Genomic DNA, 21,735 nt, shown 5'->3' with positions numbered 1-21,735 from the left:
CTTAAGAGAGATCAGGAATACAGAAATTAGAAGCATTTCAGAAAATAGGGCCAATATGAAGAAGAGTTCAATTTTGGATATGCTACATTTAAGTGCCTATGGCACATCCAGATAAAGAGTACGCTAAAAAAAAAAAGTAGAAATAAGATCTGGAGTTGTAGAGAATGTCTTAGCTGAAATATAGGTCTGGAGACATTGGTGTAGTCAAGGGTATTTGAATCACCAAGAGATAATACATAGAAGGATGAGAATAGAAGGTCAAAGTTAGGATCCTGGATAACCCAACAAATAAAGGGCAGAATAAAGTGTAAGTGAAAGAAATTTTAAAAGATGATGTGTGGATAGAAGAAAGCTAAGAGCAAGTGATATTCCAGAAGCCAAGAGGAAAGGAGAGAGTTTCAAGAAGTGGGGATGAGTTATGCATGGTTCCAGATAGAGTAAAGTGGTCAAGTGGGTGAATACTAAAAAGAAGTCATGCGTTTTGGCAATTCTGATAATCTTAGCAAGAACTGTTTAGTACAATATAGCTCAAAATGTGGGTCATAAAATGGAATCTTAGGAGAGGGCGTAATAGGTAAGCCCACTATTCCAAATCTTCATATTTTACTGGGTTTAATGTAAAAGCAACTTATCTTCCTTTTATAATGATTTACTCAATATACCAGTAACATTAAGAAGACTGATACATAAACAAATCAGATTTGTTCTAGCAACAGAAGACACTGAGGTGTGAACACTTTCACACTAAAGCTTGTCTTCTGCCTCACCACCTAGGGGTCACCCTCATGATGCTACAATATAATGATTGTTAAAGAAGAAAACAAATTCTTAAAAGTAGAGAAAAGCCTAAGCTTAAAGCTTGAGAGTTGATTTTTCCCCAGAAGCACAGCTCAGGTCAAATCAACTTACTTTCAAGTCTAAGGGCATCTGAGTCCCTCCCTGAATTCTCAACAGAGAATACAGGGTCCTCCTCTGTTCCTCTCTCAGAGGGCTCTTCTTCAGCAGCATCCAGTGACTGTGAGTTGTCAAAATATTTCTGTTTGTCATGGCTGTTGTCCAGGGTTTTCTCATGACAATTACCTCAATGACAAGAGACACAGATATAGCACATTAGAAATATCTCTCGTGTAGTACTACAGTACAAGGTCCTAAAATATCAAGAAGAGCAAAAATGTGACAATGCCGGTTTTTCTTCAGCAGAACACACAAAAATCAGTGAGCTGCAGCACCCAAAGCCAGATCATTACTGTGATTCAAGATTTTGCGCTGAAGTTCAAGTTTCAGCTGTAGGCTATTGTCAAGTATTTAGGAGGAGAAAAACAACTGTAACAACAAAGATCAAGCCCCAAGACCTTGTTCCATTCATAATGGCCATGAAATATTTTCTTGAAGTTAGAAATATCATCAAAAAGCTTTCCTTCTATTTGTGAGAAATGACAGGTTAATACCTGGATAAGTCTGAGATAAATTATAGCAGAGAAAAATACTATTTTTGCATCATGGCTTAAAATGAGATATACCAAAAGGTGAGGAATTATTAAAAATTAAAAGCCAAAGAATTAAAGGGGGATGATGGCAGAAAGTCAACAATTAAGGCTGCAATATAACTTTTGGAAATGTTTTGCAATGTTTCTTTTGGAAAACAGGTTCTGGTCATATCAATAAAAATAACTTTCGGCATGTATAGTGGGAATGACCTCTATGGCGACTTTTACCTGTGAGTCAAAGGATTTTGATCCTATTAAGAGTTTTGTGTTAATATGAACCCAAACCCCCACTATTCAGCTATACCTGATGGTCATTCTCTGGGTAGGGGAGTATGTTACCAGATAGTTATATCTAACATGGCAGCAATCTGGCTGACATCTGTCCCTCCTTTGACTACCCTTGATTAGTTCTAGCTGATCTGGCAAGCTGAACAGGTGTCCTCTTTCCCCCTTGTGTTCCATGGACATTGTCAATGAAAATGCATTTTCATTGGAGAATCACAACTTTCCTGTTAGAGGACAATTCTTTGGTTAAGAGTGTGTAAGTAGCTGTTCTCCTTTACCAGAACATTCAAACACATTCTATGTTTAATTTTTAGAGAATGTTGTCTCAAAGATAGACCGATCTATCTATCTATCTATCTATCTATCTATCTATCTATCTATCTATCTATCTATCATCTTATCTGTGTGTACAGATTCACCAAATCAAGCTCTCTCCACATGAGTGGAAACACAAGATGTCTCTTTCTTGACTGATGGCTCTCTTTCAGATTTCACAATTTAAGGAAGTACTTCTAATGCCATCTCCCTTACTGTGCCAAGAAAATGTAATGGACTCAAAACCTTTTCCAACTTAATGACTTTAGAGTAAGGGGACCACATGCTTAGAGAGTCATTTTCCATTTTCCACTTTTACACTATTATACATTGGAGGCTACCATATTTAACAAGACTATGTCAGAAATTGAGGATTCTTTGTTTTAAGAGTTTTAGCTCTCAAGAAATCGACAAACAACTTGGGGAGACAGTAAATACAAGACAGCAAAGAATACTTGTTCCAAATAAGTGCTTCAGAGAATAAGCTTTGAGTAGTTAGAACTCGAATTTTAAAGAATAGGCAGGACTTATAAAAGGGGAACTACATGAAATGGAAGAAATATTTTTTGAATGCTTTATATTTTTTCCTCCACTTTATCCTCATAAAAACCATGTGCATCTTCATTTTAGAAATGAGGAAACCGATTCTCAGTGAAATAAAGTAACTTGCCTAAAGTCAAAAGTAAGTAGTAGATCTGAGATCTGGATCAGGTTTATCTTATTACAAGGCTTCTAGGCTTCCCCCCGCCGATCAGTAGGGAAGGCAGCATTCTAGGCAAGGAAGAATAATGTGTTGGGCAAAGCAACAGGCACAGGAATTCTCATTTGTGTTTGGGAGCAGTGAAAAGTACAACTTGTAAAAGACTGAATGTGGTGTGTGTGTGTGCCCACCCATGAAGGGCTAATGGGAAAGAGGCCATGAGAGTGTGTGTGTGTGTGTGTGTGTGTGTGTGTGTGTGTGTGTGTGTGTGTGTGTGTGTGTGTGTGTCCCCGCCCATGGAGGGCTAATGGGAAAGAAGCCATGAGCAATGGTAGTTGCTTTCTTTCTCCAGATTCTCCTATGACAGGACAGAGGTTGTTAATTTGCCTCCACTTCTATTTTCACCATCTGGTATGTGTAGTTAAGTCAGGGGAGCTAAACATAAGAGCATTAAAATAAAACAGAATAATGACATCAACCAACTCTGCACACCCAATTGAGTATAATTTATTATGAAGAACATCACACTTCTCAGAGACAATTCTTAATTGGGATATAAATAAGCACGACTATTAAAAGCAGAGAGGAAATAATTATGACAATGATGCTGATTAAAGCATTCTTCACATTGATACATGTTGTGTAAAACATTATAAAAGCAAACGACAAACATTTAAGACTGGAACCCAGTGAAACTCTGTGTTTTCTGAAGTTGATTTCCTCCCTCAACATTTGATTCTCTTCTGTTTCTCTCCCACCCTCTGCCCACAGTAAAAATTTAATTGGTCTCATCTTTTTAAACTTATGCAATACGAAAAAATATCTTGTAGGTAATTTATAAAATATTATGTGCACAAGGGACCCTGAAGCTAAATTACTCCTTCTGCATGACCTCAAACTCAGACATCTTGTGCAAGCCATGTGCATTCTAAGAATGTCTTGTCCTCAAATTCACAAAATTGGGGCCAACATCTCTCAGAGGGAGAGGAGAAGAAGAATCGGGAGGAGAACAGGAGGAATAAAAAAAGAGTAAGAGGTTTATGTTAGGGTATTTCTTGGAAGTAGGCATCAAAATGATCACATAAAAGCTACATGCTTTAAGAGTAGAATTGTGAATACTAACGTTCTTACGCTCAACTGTTAAAAACAGACCAGTTTGGCCAGGCGCGGTGGCTCACGCCTGTAATTCCAGCACTTTGGGAGGCTGAGGAAGGCGGATCACGAGGTCAAGAGATCGAGACCATCCTGGCCAACATGGTGAAACCCTGTCTCTACTAAAAATACAAAAATTAGCTGGGCATGGTGGCACATGCCGGTAGTCCCAGCTACTTGGGAGGCTGAGGCAGGAGAATCGCTTGAACTTGGGAGGCAGAGGTTGCAGCGAGCCGAGACTGCGCCACCGCACTCCAGCCTGGTGACAGAGCGAGATTCCATCTCCAACAAAACAAAACAAAACAAAACAAAACACCCAAAAAACCAACAAAAAAAACCAGACCGGTTTAGGGTTTTGATGTGATTTGCATATGTAGCTTGGCGATAGTTGAATTATCTAATTTTAAAAATTACTCCTTCCAGTTTCTAAGGGTAGGTGAAGTATTTCAGAAGAACTTAAAATTTCCATTCTTTAGACTACCGTATAGGTCTGCTCCAGCTCAAAGGGGAACTAAAAAAAGTTGCCTTTGTGGAAAAATATTGCCTGTTTTCCTGGCAGAGGTCGGAATGATGTTCTCATGAAAGAAACACAGGAAAATATTGGAGAAGGAAAAATGGAAAGATACCTGGAAAGTAGCAAGTCATCTTCTATGCATAAGACTTATTTTTTGCTGACACAAAAATGGGGAGATTCTATGACTTACACTAACCTTGAGAGGTATGAGTTTTCTTTAAAGGAACAACACTATTTAAACAAAATGCTTTAGGTAACGAGGTCCCAGGTGAAAATGGAAAACACTTTTCTGTGTTTAATGCTGTTACTTGCTTGCAAAGCATTTAGCATCTAATTCAAATCCTGGCAGTTCGGTTTTTCTTAGAAGTAAGAGACTACAAGACTATCAACTAAGTATAAAACTCCAAAAAGGGTATTTCTGATTCTGGAACTACTATGAGATCCTAGTATATTAACATTCTTTTCTATGCTTAGATATCTCCTGCATAAATAGGGTAATTAATACTAACCTATCCTACAAGGGTGTTTGCAAAAACAACTACATATTTAATATACTTGTCAAAGTAAAGTCTCCTGACGGGTAAAGTCACAATTTATCATGTGGCTAAACAGTTTTTCAAAGTATTCTAAGTTCTCAGGATCTCCTATCTTCTCATCTTAATTGTTTACAAATTGCTAGAAGAGTATTTTCCACTTTCTAATTAGAGTTGGGTAACCACTTATTTGTTAAAAAGAATTCTTACCTTCTAAATCTCATATATTGGTAGAGATTCCTGGTTGGGTAACTTAGGATGCTTTTTGGTTAGTTATAATAAAGAAATGCCACAAATGAATTGAGAGGCATCAAAACTTTGTAAGAGCATTAGAGCAGTGGTTATGGGTACAGCCTGGCGCAAGACAAGTTACTTTACCTTTTTGTGAATCGTTTTCCTCATCTACAAAGTGAGTTTTTTGTTTTTGTCTTTTAAGAGATGGGGGTCTCACTATGTTGCCCAGGCTGGACTTGAACTGCTGGGCTCAAGTGATCCTCTTACTTCAGCCTCCTGGCGTGTGCCACTGCACTGGCTGCAAATTGAGCTTAATAATAATATCCATTTCATTAGGTTGTTGAGAATTACATGCAAAGAGCTAGACCATTGCGTAGCACATGGTAAGATGCTATTATTATTAGCCCTGACTCCCTGAAAAGCTGCACTGGAATAGTAAGTTATCCCAATGTAATCTTTTTAAAATAAGGCCTTTTAGTTATAGCCAACTCAGAATCTCTAGTATGAACAATTAACCTGCTATTAGAAGTTATCAGGGTATCCATCTCACGCCAGTTAGAATGGCAATCATTAAAAAGTCAGGAAACAACAGATGCTGGAGAGGATGTGGAGAAATAGGAACGCTTTTACACTGTTGGTGGGAGCGTAAATTAGTTCATCCACTGTGGAAGACAATGCGGTGATTCCTCAAGGATCTAGAACTAGAAATATCATTTGACCCAGCAATCCCATTACTGGGTATATAACCAAAGGATTATAAATCATTCTACTATAAAGACACATGCACACGTATGTTTACTGCAGTACTATTCACAACAGCAAAGACATGGAACCAACCCAAATGCCCATCAATGATAGACTGGATTAAGAAAATGTGGCACATATACACCATGGAATACTATGCAGCCATAAAAAAGGATGAGTTCATAACCTTTGCAGGGACATGGATGAAGCTGGAAACCATCATTCTCAACAAACTAACACAGAAACAAAACCAAACACCACATGTTCTCACTCATAAGTGGGAGCTGAACAATGAGAACACATGGACACAGGAGGGGAACATCACACATCAGGGGGTGGTGGCTAGGGGAGAGACAGCATTAGGAGAAATACCTAATGTAGATGACGGGTTGATGAGTGCAGCAAACCACCGTTGCACATGTATACCTATGTAACAAACCTGCATGTTCTGCACATGTATCCCAGAACTTCAAGTATAATAATAATAATTAAAAAAAGAAGTTATCAATGTATCTGCATAATTTCAACTTTGTGTGTGTGTGTGTGTGTGTGTGTGTGTGTGTGTGTGTGCGTGTATGTAGGGGATGCTGGGGGCAGTATAGAGTCCATTTCTACCAATCTTTTAGAAGAAAGCAGCGATTAATTCAGATCAAACTCCTTAGCATATCTAAGCCCCAAAATATTTAGTACACTTAGAAATTAGTCTCACAGTAGGCTCTGTGCTCTCTAAAGGACATTTTAATAGACAGACTGCCTTACAATATGAAAATAGGCTATGGGTACCATGTTACCTATAGTCTTTTACTTCTTTGCTGTTCAACAACTCCCTCCCTCTAGTTTTTTTTGTTTGTTTGGAGGCAGAATTGCTCTGTCACCCAGGCTGGAGTGCAGTGGCATGATGTGGGCTCACTGCAGCCTCTGCCTTCCAGGCTCAAGCCATCCTCCCACCTCAGCCTCTCGAGTAGCTGGGACTACAGGTGCACGCCACCACACCTGGCTAATTTTTGTAATTTTTGTAGAGACAGGGTTTCAGCATGTTGCCCAAGCTGGTCTCAAACTGCTGAACTCAAGCAATCTGCCCTCTTTGGCCTCCCAAAGTGCTGGGATTATAGGCATGAGCCACTGTGCTCAGCCCCCTCTAGTTTGTTAATCTTGCTTCAGTCGAAGCTTCCCCAAACTTTTTGTTTTCATACAGTAAATATAAGTTATATTCCCATGCAATTTATTATAAAACTAATTTCTAAGACATAAATAATAAACTGATTTGTAATAGGAGCTATAATTCAAAATTTAAGGCAAAGATGTTAGAAAAGTAGTCTTTGTGAAACAGTGGAATATTCTAACGGTTTTCCTACCATCCCTGCTCCAACAGGCTTATATTATACTCTACAGTCTACTTTCTTCTGCCTTTCAGAAAGGTTACCCTACAGGAAGCATTCCGATATATTCAATTAAAGTACCTATGTGGAAAATACAGACATCATCATCCTTTTAACAGATATGAGTGACTTTTTCTATAGTATTTTCTCCTTACCTTTCTACCCAACTGCACTCAAAATTATGCAGTTTTAAAAATGATTTCTTTTGGAAATAGGTAGCTCAGAAACACATGGTGACTGTTTCCTTTTATTATAATTTAAGCTACCTAATAACACTATTTCATATTTATCTCTAGTAAAATATAATCTGTCTTTTAGAAGAGGTAGTAAAATACCATGAAGTGAACAAAAATATATCTTTCAGTTGCTCACCACTGTTATACAAAATTACTTAAAAATATTACCAGGAAGCTTTTACTACAGGTGACATGTGGGACTTTGGCACCACACAGAGTAACAGGTATAGCTGAGGGAAAAGGAGACCTTACTGGGAATAGATACCTTTATGATTTTCACCTCCAGAGGTTGTAACAGAGTCTAACAGACCTTTTACCAAGAGGAACACTTCCATGGTATAAATTCAAATCCTGCCTTGGCTGCAGCCTTACTGTACAAACTTGGGCAAATCAATTTACATTTCTGTGTCTAGGATTTTTTACTCTGAAATGGAGAAACAAACTACTGTCCTACTGTCAGAGGATTCTTGGGAAACGTCGTTAATGAAACCACTGCTAATATAAGCATACAGAACCTGAATCTGGGTGAAACCTAGGTTGCTGATGACTGTACCTGAGACAAATGAAGATGCCTCACCTCCTCTGCCCTGTTCTATCCTCTATTTGGGAAAGAAAAAAGAAATTATTTGAACAGAAATAATGGCTCCTTAGACTTGTTCTCATTCAGTAATTACTGCTGAATGAAATTCTTTGCAGAAGGTTTTAAAATAATGGTTATGTGCTGACTGACCTCAAAAGTACAATGGCAAAGAGAAAACAGACCATAGTAAAGACCAGAAATCAGCACTCTCTCCTGGTGAGGTGATTAAGTCAGAAGAGTTTACAGGAAAAAAGAAGGAAAGAAAGAAAAGTATGTGATTCCCAAATATGAATGTGTATGTGTGTGTGTTTTCCTTTTACTACATATTCTGGAGTTAAATTCTGTCCTGGGAAATACTCTGTTCACACATGGTCACACCTGAAACTTGCTTTGCCCAAGAATTTAGAGCTGAATTGGTTTCTGCAGACCTATATGCCCCTGCATCCCATATGCCCTGCTGCCTTTTAGAGTAGAGAAAGGAGAACTGGCTATAAATCTGGCCTCTTGGTCTTGCCATGTGGCCTTCTCTTAAATGACTACAGCACGGAAAGCAAAGTCAGCACCAGTTGAGACACAGATACCATGACATGTAGGCTGTGTTAGAAACTATTTTAATGAAGAATCCAGGCTTTCAGCAGTTATAAATGCTTCTAGAAAGGTAAATGATCAGATTACATATCTAAAGCAAATTTAAAATTCATTATAAGTTTACTATGAGACTTTTCCATGCAGAAATTATATTGAAAAAGAAAATTAACTGACATAGCTATTTTTTTTTTAATTTAAATCTCTGGCTTACTTCAGCCTAGGGAACTTTTCTTTAAGCAAGAATACTGGGGAAACAAATTCAACAGACTTCCTGAGACTGACTCATAGGTGTTAGTTTTCAATGAGGGTCGAGAGAGACACTAGTTTATAACTTTCATTAAAAACAGGAGGGACTGAAGGTGGGACAATACAGGCCACTTGTCAGACATGTTAGCTCCTACTGGACCAGTAAGACAATACAATTCCATTTTTCTTCCCCCTCTTACAGTGGGAACTGTAGACCTTAAAAGGAGATTTGTATCTACTTATGTATATTGAGGGGGGTTTCCTAGAAAGCACTCTGGGCAAACTTTGGGTGGATACAAGTTAATTACTCATTATTACATTTAATACTTAGTTATCTGAGTAGTTCAGACTTGAAATATCATCAGCTACTTTGCCATTAAAGAATATTCTATGTGCTAAATGTTGGGGGGAGGGTATGGAATGCTTGGTGAGCTGGGGTATGCAGATGAAAAAAGGATTGGTTTCTGTACTCAAGGAGCTAGGAGTCTTGTTAGAGAGTTGTATGATGTACACAGATAACTACCATGGCAAGTCACAGGAGCCAAAGGAGAGGCACAGTTAAATTGTCTGATTACACATTACTTATAATTAGAAGATCAAGTAAGGCATATGGTGGAAGTGGGTCTTGAAAGATGGGTAAAATTGGTACTTTTATGTGTATGTGTTGTGGGAAAGAGCTGGAGAGTTATGGGATAGAGCTGCAGAAAGCAATGAGTGCTAACTCATCAAACTAGCAAAGCAGGATGTATGTAGTCAAGAAAATTAACTACCCGCAATAGCATCATCATTTGGTACCAAGATTTGGTACAATTTCCACGGATTCTGCAAAAGGCAGATGTTACAAAGTTCTTACGGTCAGTGAGTAAAATACAACATATCTTTCTGATTCAATCACACACTCTTACAGTGAGTCTGCTTCACTCAATTCTTAAACTCAGAACAAGCATACAAACAGTCGGAGGGGGCTTAGATTTCCTAGCTACCCACAACCCTTAGTGTTTACCATCTGCCTCTCCTTTTTCCTGCTACAAGTGGTCACCTGCTGACACACAGGAAAGTGATCGAGTAGGAAAACCAACAGACTTGGTTTACGTAGTAAGTATGATATTTAGGCCAACCAAATGTCCTTTGCATTGGTATAGGTAGTAAGTATGATATTTAAACCAAAGTTTAAAATATGGTATTGGTATTTAAAACTTACTAGCAAACTAGACTTGGTTTAGGTAGTAAGTATGATATTTAAACTTACCACTGGTATAGGTAGTAAATATAATATTTAAACCAACAGACCTTGTACATTACACAACTCTTTAACAAGACTCTCCTAGCTCCTTGAGAGCAGAAACCAATCCTTAATTATGCCCAGCACTTTTTGGGCTTATCAGGCTTGTCTTTTTCCCTAGAGCAAGGATATAGAGCAAGGCTGAGGCTAATGAAGTTATAAAGGCTATTTTGTCTTTTTTTCTCCTCAAATTAAGTGAATTACAAGGACAGTATCTTGAAATGAGAACTCAAGATCCTAGTTATTCCATAATTGATCAAGATTTGAGTCTAGTAATACCTCATAGGTCCTAGATAGAAGGAAAAAGATCAAGCACTAGGAAATGTCCTTTGCATTGGTAGAGGTAGCAAGTATGATATTCAAACCAAAGTTTAAAAAATCCCGCTGAAGTCCCTCTATCAAACAATGTTATGAGCAGAGACTTGTGGATGGATCTCAGTAATAAAGTTTCCTAATACCCTGATTGCAGATCCTGCCTCAAGGGTATGGAATTAAGATAGGCACTTTAATTTGAACATATCTACTTACCCGTAAGTAAATATGGCCAATGCATGATCAAGGGGAAAGTGAAAAGCACATGATGATATTATGTATTTTTGTTACATATTGTTTCCTCTTGCTTTATGCCACCAAATGAAAGTCACCTGGTGCACTCACCTCAGTGGCCACTTTGCAGGTAATAACATGGTTTCCAGGATCTTACTCAGTCTCTCCCAACTTTCAACATTTATGGCTTTTAGCCAGTGTACTGTGAGAGGGGTGGTGAATTGATTATTAATTTGTTCATATTAGGTTTTTCTCTAGCTGTATTTCTCATCATCAAGTGAAATAGGGCTTTATTATTACAGAGGTGCAGCAGGAATCAGAAAACTTGCTTGACAGCAGTATCCGCTCAGCTGCTACGGACCTCTAGCTCTTTTTCCTGAAATGTACTTAGGCAAATTGTGCTTATTATTTTCCATAATCATCTCACTGTATATTTGTGACCTGACTGGGTTATTAACAAAGCCTGACAGCTAAAGAGGTTTAAAGGATGGCAAAATTTGAATGACAAATTTAGGTTTGTTCCTATAAAAGGCAACTAAACGGGAAGACAAATCCAAAGCTATGGCCTTTTCAATATCTGTGAAATGTGATTTAAATTTCTCCTGCATCTTTGAGATAATAATTAAATATACTTTGCTGGTTAGTAACAGATTACTGAGATTTTCCTGGCCAAAGAGTGGCTCAGTATGAAATAAATTCAACCACTAGTAATAAATACTAACAATGAAAGAAAAAAGGGGGAGAAAAACCCAAACAGCATACACATGTACACATATATATGGCAGACATCCTCAGTCTTATGTGTTTTAAAATCTCACGAATGCTCTTTTCTAATGATTACCAGACTTGCTGCTTTATATCCATCAGACCATGGAACTGAGTAGAGATCATACAATGATTAAATATGAAAAGGGGTTTACATAGTTGGTGCTGTTTTAAAAAAATAGTCTAAAACTAGGAACTCATTTCAACTGTCTCAAAGCAAACATAATTTTCTGAGGCACAAATCACTTAGAAATTTTAAAAAGAGCCCACTCTACCAACGTAGAATAGGTTGTGTATTTTGCCAATTAGAATAATTAAAAAAAAATTTTTTTTTTCAAGAGACAGGTGTCCCATCATGTTTCCCAGGTTTAAGGGCAGTGGTGTGATCAGGGTGCACCCTAGCTTCGTAGTCCTGGTCTCCAGTGATCCTCCCACCTCAGCTTTCTAAGTAGCTGGGACTACCATGCACACCACCAAGCCCAGCTAGAATCATCTTTCTGAATGGAGAAGAGTTGTATAAATGCTTGCTATCTAAGATGGCAAAGCTTAACATTACATAAACTGAAATGTCTCCAAAACATCTAGAATGATGAATGAAAACTCAAGATTTAGACAACATGCAATGAACTTGCCTAACTCACTACACACAAGTGTATATAACAAGAAGTCAGCCCCCTTCAGTTCCTGTAAGGAGAATGAAATACAATTGCAGCAACAAACCATATTAAAAATACCTTGTTAAATGACTAGGGGGAACTATATAAAACAGACCCCCTCTTGCTTACAGGGCTTAGACTATCCTTCTGAGAAATGCCCTATTTCTTCAATTGCCCATCAAGGTTTTCTACTATTTTATTAAAAATACACAATTAACTTTTCATGTTTCTTTTTTTAGATGGAGTCTCTCTTGCCCAGGCTGGAGTACGATGATGCAATCTCAGCTCACTGCAACCTCCACCTCCCGGGTTCAAGCAATTCTCCTGCCTCAGCCTTCCCAGTAGCTGGGATTACAGGCATGCACCACCACACCCAGCTGATTTTTGTATTTTTAGTAAAGATGGGGTTTCGCCATGTTGGTCAGGCTGGTCTTGAACTCCTGACCTCAGGGGATCCGCCTGCCTCGGCCTCCCAAAGTGCTGGGGTTACAGGCGTGAAGCCACCATGCCCAGCCACCTTTTCATGTTTCTAACAAATGAAGTTTTTAAAGAAAGCTTTCCTCATTTGTGTTCTATTATTATTACATGTTTTTTAAAGAATGATTCTTGGCCGGGCACAGTGGCTCACACCTATAATCCCAGCACTTTGGAAGGCTGAGGCAGGTGGATCACCTGAGGTCAGGAGTTTGAGACCAGTCTGGCCATCATGGCGAAACCCCGTCTCTACCAAAAATACAAAAAATTAGCCAGGCATGGTGGTGGGCACCTGTATTTCCAGCTACTGGGGTGGCTGAGGCAAGATAATTGCTTGAACCAGGGAGGCGGAGATGGCAGTGAGCCGAGACAGAGCCACTGCACTCTAGCCTGGGCGACAAGAGCGAGCGAGACTCCGCCTCAGGAAAAAAAAAAAAAAAGGAAAAAGAATGATTATTGGTTTCATCTCCTATTTGCTTTAAAGTTATTTTAGTCACTAAGTAACAGGATAAAATGAGCTATATTTTAGAAACTATATCTAATAGCTCTAAAAGTAATTCAATTATATATAGAGAGCTCACTTTAATACTTTCATTATTCTAAAATTTATTAATGTTGTTTTAGTGTAGCTATTTCCTCATTTTATAGAAAATGCTTTTGATAAAATGAAGTCACCAATGATTTCTAAACTGTTAAACCCAGAGCTTCCCACAGTTTATTCATTTACCAATTACTATCATGATTTTTCCATAGCTAGCAGTATCATTACTTAACATAATGTTTTTCTTTAATGAATCTAAAGTCTAATCTTACACTAATTTAGGTTAAAAGGGAAAATCATTATCATTTTTCATAAATCAGAGGTTTTATGTACCAGCTAAATATATTTTCTAATGCTCATCAAAATAAACCATAAATATTAAAATTAAAATACCAACTAAAAGCTTGCAAATGAATCAATTCAGGACACACTACTATTGTCCTCTTTGTCCCTCTCAAACTCTCTGTTCTTCTAAACTTCATGACCCTGCTCTTCCAGTGCCTCTATTTACGCACTCTTTCCTGACTCTGTTCCTTAAATGTTAGTATTTTCTAAGATTCCATTCTTGGCGTTTTCTTCACATCCTGCACATTCTGAGGGAATCAGAGGCATCTCCAAATGAACATGTCTATCACTGAACTTGCTATTCCCAGCACATCAATGCATAGATGATTTCTCCTCTGTATTCCCATTCTTAACAACATTGACGTCTATCCAGTTACCAAAGTTAGAAACCTCTCTAGTTAATTCGCATTCTGAGACAACTGTTTTCAGCCTTTCCTCTCTCATCAAATCTCCAACATTCTCTGTACCTCTTCACTCTCATCTGACAAGTCACCTAATATGTTGCTGAGAAGCAACCAGAAGTCCCACCATCACATCTTTCAACATACCTACAACTTTACTTATATATCATCCTTGTTCCTAAGGACTACTCTTACATTTGTGCCTTAGATTTCATCCCCTCCTGTCTACTCAAGAATTCTGCTTCTACAGTTAGCCCTAAGCTGCATCTTCAATTTTTCCCACTTTGCTGGATCATTCCTACTGAAACATGCTGCAGGGCTTTCTATTTTTAGAATAACAAAAACAAATACCTTCAACCCCACAGGCCCCTCCAGCTATATCCCATTTTCCTGCTCTTCACTATAGCAAAACTTAAGAGTTGCTTGCCATCCTCACTTCCTCACCTCCTTTCAAAACCGATTTCACACAAGCTTTTACAAGATTACCAACAATCTCCATGTTACTAAATCCAGTGGTTCATTCTCTGCCCACATCCAGCTCAATCTCTCAGGATATAGCATGCTGGTACAATAATAATGATATGCTTGATAACCCCTTAAAACATTTTCTTCACTTGGCTTGTGGGATAAAATACTTCAATGGTTTTTCTACTAGCTTACTGGCTACTCCTTTATTGCTCTTTTTCTTCCTGACCTTTAAATGTTGGCTAGAATACCCTAGTAACTGATTTTTGACCCATTTTCCTTTTTATAGTAATTATTGAGGTAATTTCATCCAAGCTAATGACTTAGAAAATACATACGTCCATGACCCATAAATTATTATCTCTAGCCTGGTCTCTTCCCCATCATTATAACACTCATGTATCCAACTACCTATTCAACATCTCTACTTGAACACTTAATAGGCAACTCAAATTTAACATGTCCAAAACCAAACTTGTTTTTCTCCCCAAATCTGCTCCTTTCTCAGACCTGAGTATCTCATTAAATAGCACCACTATTTACCTGATTGCTCAGGTTCCAAATTTAAGAGTCACCCTTGACCTCTCTTTCTTTCATTTCCCATATCCCTTTCTAGGAGTGTCTTTTTGGTTCTACCTTCAAAATATATTCCAAATAGGATCATTTCTCACTTTCTCCCTGTCCACCCCAGTGGTACAGGCCAATATCATCTCTCACTGATATTTTTGCAATAGCATCCTAACAGGTCTTCATGCTTCCGCTCTTACCCCACTAGTCTATTCTCAACAGAGCAACCAGAGGAATTATGTTAAGATGTAAATCAGTTCATTTCACTCTTGTGTTCAAAATCTTCCAAGTCAGCAGTCCCCAACCTTTTTGTCACCAGGGGCTGCTTTCGTAGAAGACAACTTTTCCAAAGACTGGGGGGTGGGTGGGGATGGGGTTTTGGCATAATTCGAGCACATTACATGTTTTGTGCACTTCGTTATTACATTATAACATATGATGAAATTATTATACAACTCACCACAATGTAGAATCAGTGGGAGCCCTGAGCTTATTTTCCTGCAACTAAATGGTCCCATCTGGGTGTGATGGGAGACAGTGACAGATCATCAGGCTTTAGATTCTCATAAGGATCGTGTAACCTAGATCCCGTGCATGCATAGTTTACAATAGGTTCATGCTCCTATGAGAATCTAATGCCACCACTGATCTGACAGAAGGTGGAGCTCAGGCAGTAATGCGAGTGATGGGGACTGACTGTAAACGCAGGTGAAGCTTTGCTTGCTGGCCCACCACTCACCTCCTGCTGTGTTGCCCAGTTCCTAGTCTTACATCTTTCTCTTAGACGAAAAGCCCACATTATTAGAATGGTCTGCAAGGCATCAAAAAAGTGGCTCTATCCTCCACCATATTTATCTCTGCTTTCATCTCCTACATCTCCACCACAGATGGAAAGCCCTCCTTGCTATTCCTAACATGAACATTTGCAATGCTATTCTCTCTGCCTGAAATGCTTTTATGCTGTATATCTGCATGGCTTAGAACCTCTATCCTTCCTCAAGTCTTATGTTCAAATGTCACTTTCTCAGTGGGGCCTCCCTTAATGACCCCAACCCCTTGAGCACTCACTTTCTAATTAAATGATTTATTATGTTTATTATCTACTCTCTGTTTCCCTCTACTAGAATGTAGCTCTGTAAGAGCTGGAGGTATTTTCTGTTTGGTTTCCAATTCCTAGAATAGTGACTGGCATATAGTAGATAAGTGTTCATTGAATGAATGAATGAATGAAGAATAAACCACACCCAGTTTTCTTTGGTTGAAAGAAAACAAATTGTTGCTTTAGAAGATTATATCCTCTATCAAATTTCATATTTCTTAAGTATTATTTGGCAAGGCTAACAACCTATAATGACTGGATGAATAGCTGTGAAAAGATCTCAGGCAAGGGCTAATAGGCTCATTCTTTAAAATAAAACATTTTTTTTGGCATGCAGGACAAAAAATTCACATTAAAAACCAACAAATATTTATATATAATGTCTTTCAGAGGCTGAAGTATAAAACCATTGGTCATCAGAATCTGATAATACTGTCTCTAAGTTCTTATAAAAACCAAAAGTATCCCTTTTGTTCAAAAAAGCTAAATGCTGGAAATCCCAAAAGAAAAATACTGTCTACTAAGCTAATACTACAAAAGTACAGGCATAACATCTTCCACGTAAAATAGAAGGCTATGTGGCAATCTAATGATGCAAGATTCAGAAAAGATCAGGGTGACATGTTAAACTGAGAGACCATTTTAGGTATGCTCTTGGGGTTCATTATGACTGCACCCTATAATCCAGTTTACATCCATGTTTTACGTAGAAATGCATCTCTTTTGAGGGATGACATAAAAAGTGTAGTGATTATACCATTTTTATAAAATGTCCCAGGTATCTACAAATATGAATTCTTCCAATCTTTCAATCATGGCAGTGGAATAATTTATGATTGGCTGAAGGTAGAAGAATTATGCACAGGAACCACACTGGCCCTGGAAGACAGAGGACTCACTTTTTAGTTTCAGCTCCGCCAAAGACTGACTGTAATTTGAGTAAATCACAATCTTTGCTTGTAGGTTCATAAATACAAAAATTCTTTTTCCTATTCTCTCCTCTATCACATGTTAAATACATGTTAAAGATACATGTTAAAAAACTGTTTGTTAACCAAATAACTACAGCCCTTTTAAGTAAAGAAATATACAGATTTAGACACATTACATACACAGAAGTACATCTGGTTTTGTTGCAGGATATACCTGCATCTCAGGATTTTAAAATCTGCAATACATCAACCAGTTTTAATTCTTTTTACAGAAATAAATGGAGGTGACCTAACTAGTAGCATATTTAAAATGCTGTTTAAGAGTCAGGTGCAGTGGTACACACCTGTAGTCTCAACTGTTTGGGAGGCTGAGATGGGAGGATTGCCTGAGCCAGGAGTTAGAAGCTATGGTGTGCTATGATAGAGTCTGTGAATAGCCACTGCACTCCAGCCTGGGCAACACAGTGAGACCCTGCCTCTAAAAAAAGTACTATTAAAATTGGGTCTATAAGAATATCTTTTTTTAAAAAGCAGATACCTTCACTAATTCTTATAAAAGAATGTAAAAGGATGTGATAAAGCAAAGATCCTTCATTGCAGGCAGTATATATGCTGGATAATCCACTGGAGGGCAGCAAAGTGCAGGATTTCTTTTTCTTCAACATCTGAACTCTGTAAAATTGCTTTAAGCTGCAAGTTACAAATCTACAAAAATTTAGGTTGAAGAACACAGACTAAAACTACAGGCAATGAAACAAGTTATAAAAGGAGATATGATTTACATAAATAGATGCTATAAATACAGAAACACTGTGAAGACAAGATAATCCATCTGCACATTGGAATAGATATTAAATCTCACGTATATGATTTGAAAATTCTACTTTTTGTTCCAGAGACAAAAGATATCAAATATGTATTAGACAGAGAAACTTGCAGACAATTACAGGAACACCTAAACATTAAAGTCTGAGTTCTTCTGCATAATATTTATTCATTCTTTCTAAGGATCTGGGCCAATTTTTTTAAGTAGGCGTGTGCCTCAATTAATTAAGAAATGACCAGAGCTCAGAAATCTTGGGTTTAATGCTTAATTATATGCTGTAAACAGCGAAGTTGCTGTTTGTGGCATAAAATTCTAATACATAGAACCTATTGGTTTTATGCTAATATAAGAAAAATAATAAATATAGACCATTAAAAATAAAGTAAAATCGAATGTATCAAAGATATAAGACAGCCTAGATTACTTTAGTAGTAGAAAATATCTTTGCTAGATGTAACTTTTTAATTTGCAGATTAGTATTTCAAAAATATTTTACGGTAATAAATGCTTGGAAAGTCCACTATCATGTTGTAATGCCACATCAATGTATTTCTGGACTTTTCTACAGATTCAATATTTAATCATTTTGCTCATATTGTTATTAAAAGTTATTTTCCATTTTTTAGAGAAGATAACCTTTACTGTTCCATAAAGTTTCATTCTGTGACACTTTTATTTTTTCCAATAAAAAAAGGCTGTTTTTTTTAAGTGTTGAGCACTTCATAGACATTGCTTATATTCAAAAGCATTATAAGTTTATTTAACAGATTCTATTTTACTTTTAAAAGGACGAAGCTGTTATTGAAGAATAAGTTTGCTACAGTAACCAATTCAGTTCTGCTTAAGTTAAATAAAACTGTAAAATGACAAGCCTATAAATGTGGAAAACAGTAGGTATTTTAAAACTGCCCAAACAAGATGTTTAATCGAAACTGAAAGCACTAACTTTTACAGTCAATTCAAGAGTGGGCAAGTAAAAAAAATCAATGTATTAAGTTCTTCACAGCATCCTTGAAATGGTAGTGATATAAAACTACCTATAAAAGACCAGGATTTATGAAATTTTATTCAAAAGAGGGAGAGATGATGATGATAAACAGCTGCTATAAGAACACATGAATCTAACAAATGGCAGCCAATACATTGATTTGTAGGTTAATAAAAGTTTGAAAACATTGTCAGATAAATAATACTTCATTAATCAATACAGTTTTAGCTATAAAGTCTTTATAAGTACAAAAAAATTTTTTTAGCATAGTGATTGTGTATTTTTAAGTTGAACAAAACAGTATTTACAAGTGATACAATACATTACCTGCATAGGCATTCCAAGAAACACAAATTAAAAATCTGCATTAAAAATTCCATGATTATATATGAAAAATAACAAAATACTTGCTAATGTTAAACTGCCCATCCTTTTACCACCAGGTCATACTATTTAAGACATTCTACTATATTATAGTTGCTGTAAAAATAATTGTTTATTTTTCTTTTTTGAGACGGAGTCTCGCTCTGTCACTCAGGCTGGATCGTGCGGTGGCACAATCTCAGCTCACCGCAACCTCTGCCTCCTGGGTTCAAGCCTGAACTTCAAGTCTGATTCTCCTGCCTCAGCCTCCCGAGTAGCTGGGATTACAGGTGCCCGCTATCACGCCCAGCTAATTATTGTATTTTTAGTAGAGATGGGGTTTCACCATGTTGGCCAGGCTGGTCTTGAACTCCTGACACCAGGTGATCCACCTACCTTGGTCTCCCAAAGTGCTGGGATTACAGGCATGAGCCACCATGCCTGGCCAACAATTATCATGAATTCTGTGACCCAGCCAGCAATCTCATGAATTCCATGACTATTACATGGAAAAAGAATCGTAAGCCTTGTCACTCTCTTGAAACCTCTATATTGTCATAATAAATACTTGAAACAGATGTCAGACAAGATAACTTATAAAACTTACTTCAATATTGCAAACATGAAAAAGGAAACGGCAAACAGAATCATCTGATTTCACTAAAGGTAAAGAAATCCTAATCATCCTTCAGAGGTTTTTCCTTTTTTTTTAATCAATTATTTAGCAAAGCTCAGAGATAACTGGAATAGATGCAACTGTTTAGATTTCAAGCATAAGAAGTTCCTGGTTTCTATAAAGGTGTTTGGCTTCTTTCAAGTTTTAGCTTTTCAAAGCTACAAGTCAGCAAAGTAACTATGAATGAATGGGATTACTCTGGAAATAAGTAACTCAAAATCATTGTCAAAGAAAAACACAATATTGAAATTGTTTCACTACTACTAATGAATTTTTAAACCTAGAAAATGCTATAGCATACATATCCATTAGGAGGTAACAGTATTTATTTAGGTATTAGCAAATGTTGGATTATTTTCTAATTCATATCAGAATGATTTTAAGTCTACCAGCAGTAATAGACTATTAGCTGTTTTTAGGTAAACTATGACATTTGAAAGATCACAGCATTCTGAGAAGATGCAGTAGAATTTTTAAAACAAGAAGACCACAGAATATATTCCAGGATTAAGTAACTTCTTCTGGTGGCCTTAGTGAGTTTGAGCAGACATTCTAACTAAATTTAGTAAATTAATTAATTACAATGTAAAAGGTACTAAATATTTTTTATTGATGAGCTCCCTCTGAAAGAACTATTATTAAAAAAAATTGTGTTTCCATGTCAAGTTATTTTCTCTTATTGTTATTATATTGGACCCAATAATATTCTCTGAATTCTCTGGACTATCAGATACTACAACTCTGAGAAAGATCTGTTCCAAGTTATTAGTTTCCTGGACCAGTTGAGGTTACATTCTGGGGAAAAAGTTCAAGACAACTGTATTCCCTCTTTTGACATGAGTTACATGTACTAAGAATATATTTCAAGAAACTGAAATACTAAATAAAAACATGTAAAATTAATGCTAAGGAGAAGACTTTTTAGAAAAGGGTCACTACATGTATACAGTGACAAAATGCTTCTTCTCAAAAACAGAAATAAATTTCAACAGAGTTGAGGGAGATGATAGTAAATTAAGAAAAGAGATTCTATTAATATAAAAAGCTCATTGAAAAAGTAAAATCCTTTTTATAAGGCTGTTCTTAGGTAACCTACAACATTTAAAAGACCACAGTGTTGCGAGAAGATGCAGTAGAATTAAAAACAAACAAACAAAAAAAGACCACAGCATATCTTCCAGGATTAAGAAGATAAAAATTCACAATTTGCACCTTTAAAGTTCTGAGCACCTTGTATTCACTATGAATTTCTAATGGCTTACTTTTAGCCAGTATCTACTATATGGTAAGAACAATGCAACTATTATGTATCCATAAATATAAAAAATTTAAAAATAAAAAAGAAAGTAATGGCAGAGCTGCAGCTCAAACATGAATCTGTAAGATTCTAGTGCTAGCCACTCCACTCTATTGCCTTGCTATACTGTTTTGGGCCTTTGACATTCATAAAAGAACTTTAATTCAGATTGTGATCAACACTGACCCACAACTGAGCTACAGAGGTATATTGCTGGGAGATTCTTGGTTTCTTCAGTAAATAATTGGGCTTTGATATTTAAAAGGCAAGCACTACTTACCGTCTATCACTCTATTAAAATTGTAAGGCAGTCTGGTATAGCGAATCAACAAAACCACTTTCTGGTCCCAAATCTACTAATAATTATTCATGTCTTTTACACAAGTCACATAAATAAGTGGATGTCAGGATTTTGTTTTTAAATATCAAAAGTGAAGGAGCTGAACTAATATCCATCTGATTAAATATTATAACCTAATTTGAATATTAATAAAGCACCCACTGTGCACTCTACAATGG

General features: G+C 36.9%; 1 protein-coding gene and 1 pseudogene across 12 annotated transcripts in view; one reads left to right on the top strand and one right to left on the bottom strand.

Moving 5' to 3' along the window:
* Positions 1–21,735, bottom strand: part of TTC17 (tetratricopeptide repeat domain 17) — a 136,012-nt gene that overhangs the window by 57,688 nt on the left and 56,589 nt on the right. For 7 of the 12 annotated variants that reach the window (NR_164823.1, NR_164824.1, NM_001376525.1 and 4 more), the window contains one exon: positions 910–1,080. The exons of the other annotated variants lie outside the window; for them this stretch is intronic. Coding sequence is in view for 5 of the 7 variants with exons in the window: in NM_001376525.1 (NP_001363454.1) it covers positions 910–1,080 (171 nt within the window). In the remaining 2 variants the exon portion in view is untranslated. The remainder of the gene's footprint in view (positions 1–909; positions 1,081–21,735) is intronic. 12 annotated transcript variants of the gene reach the window in all.
* Positions 1,847–2,112, top strand: RN7SKP287 (RN7SK pseudogene 287; annotated as a pseudogene).

The sequence above is a fragment of the Homo sapiens genome, chromosome 11, assembly GCF_000001405.40.
Source record: "Homo sapiens chromosome 11, GRCh38.p14 Primary Assembly".
NCBI classification, from domain to species: Eukaryota; Metazoa; Chordata; class Mammalia; order Primates; family Hominidae; genus Homo; species Homo sapiens.
The sequence above is the reverse complement of the archived record's forward strand: the minus strand, read 5'-3'. Positions and strand labels throughout refer to the sequence as shown.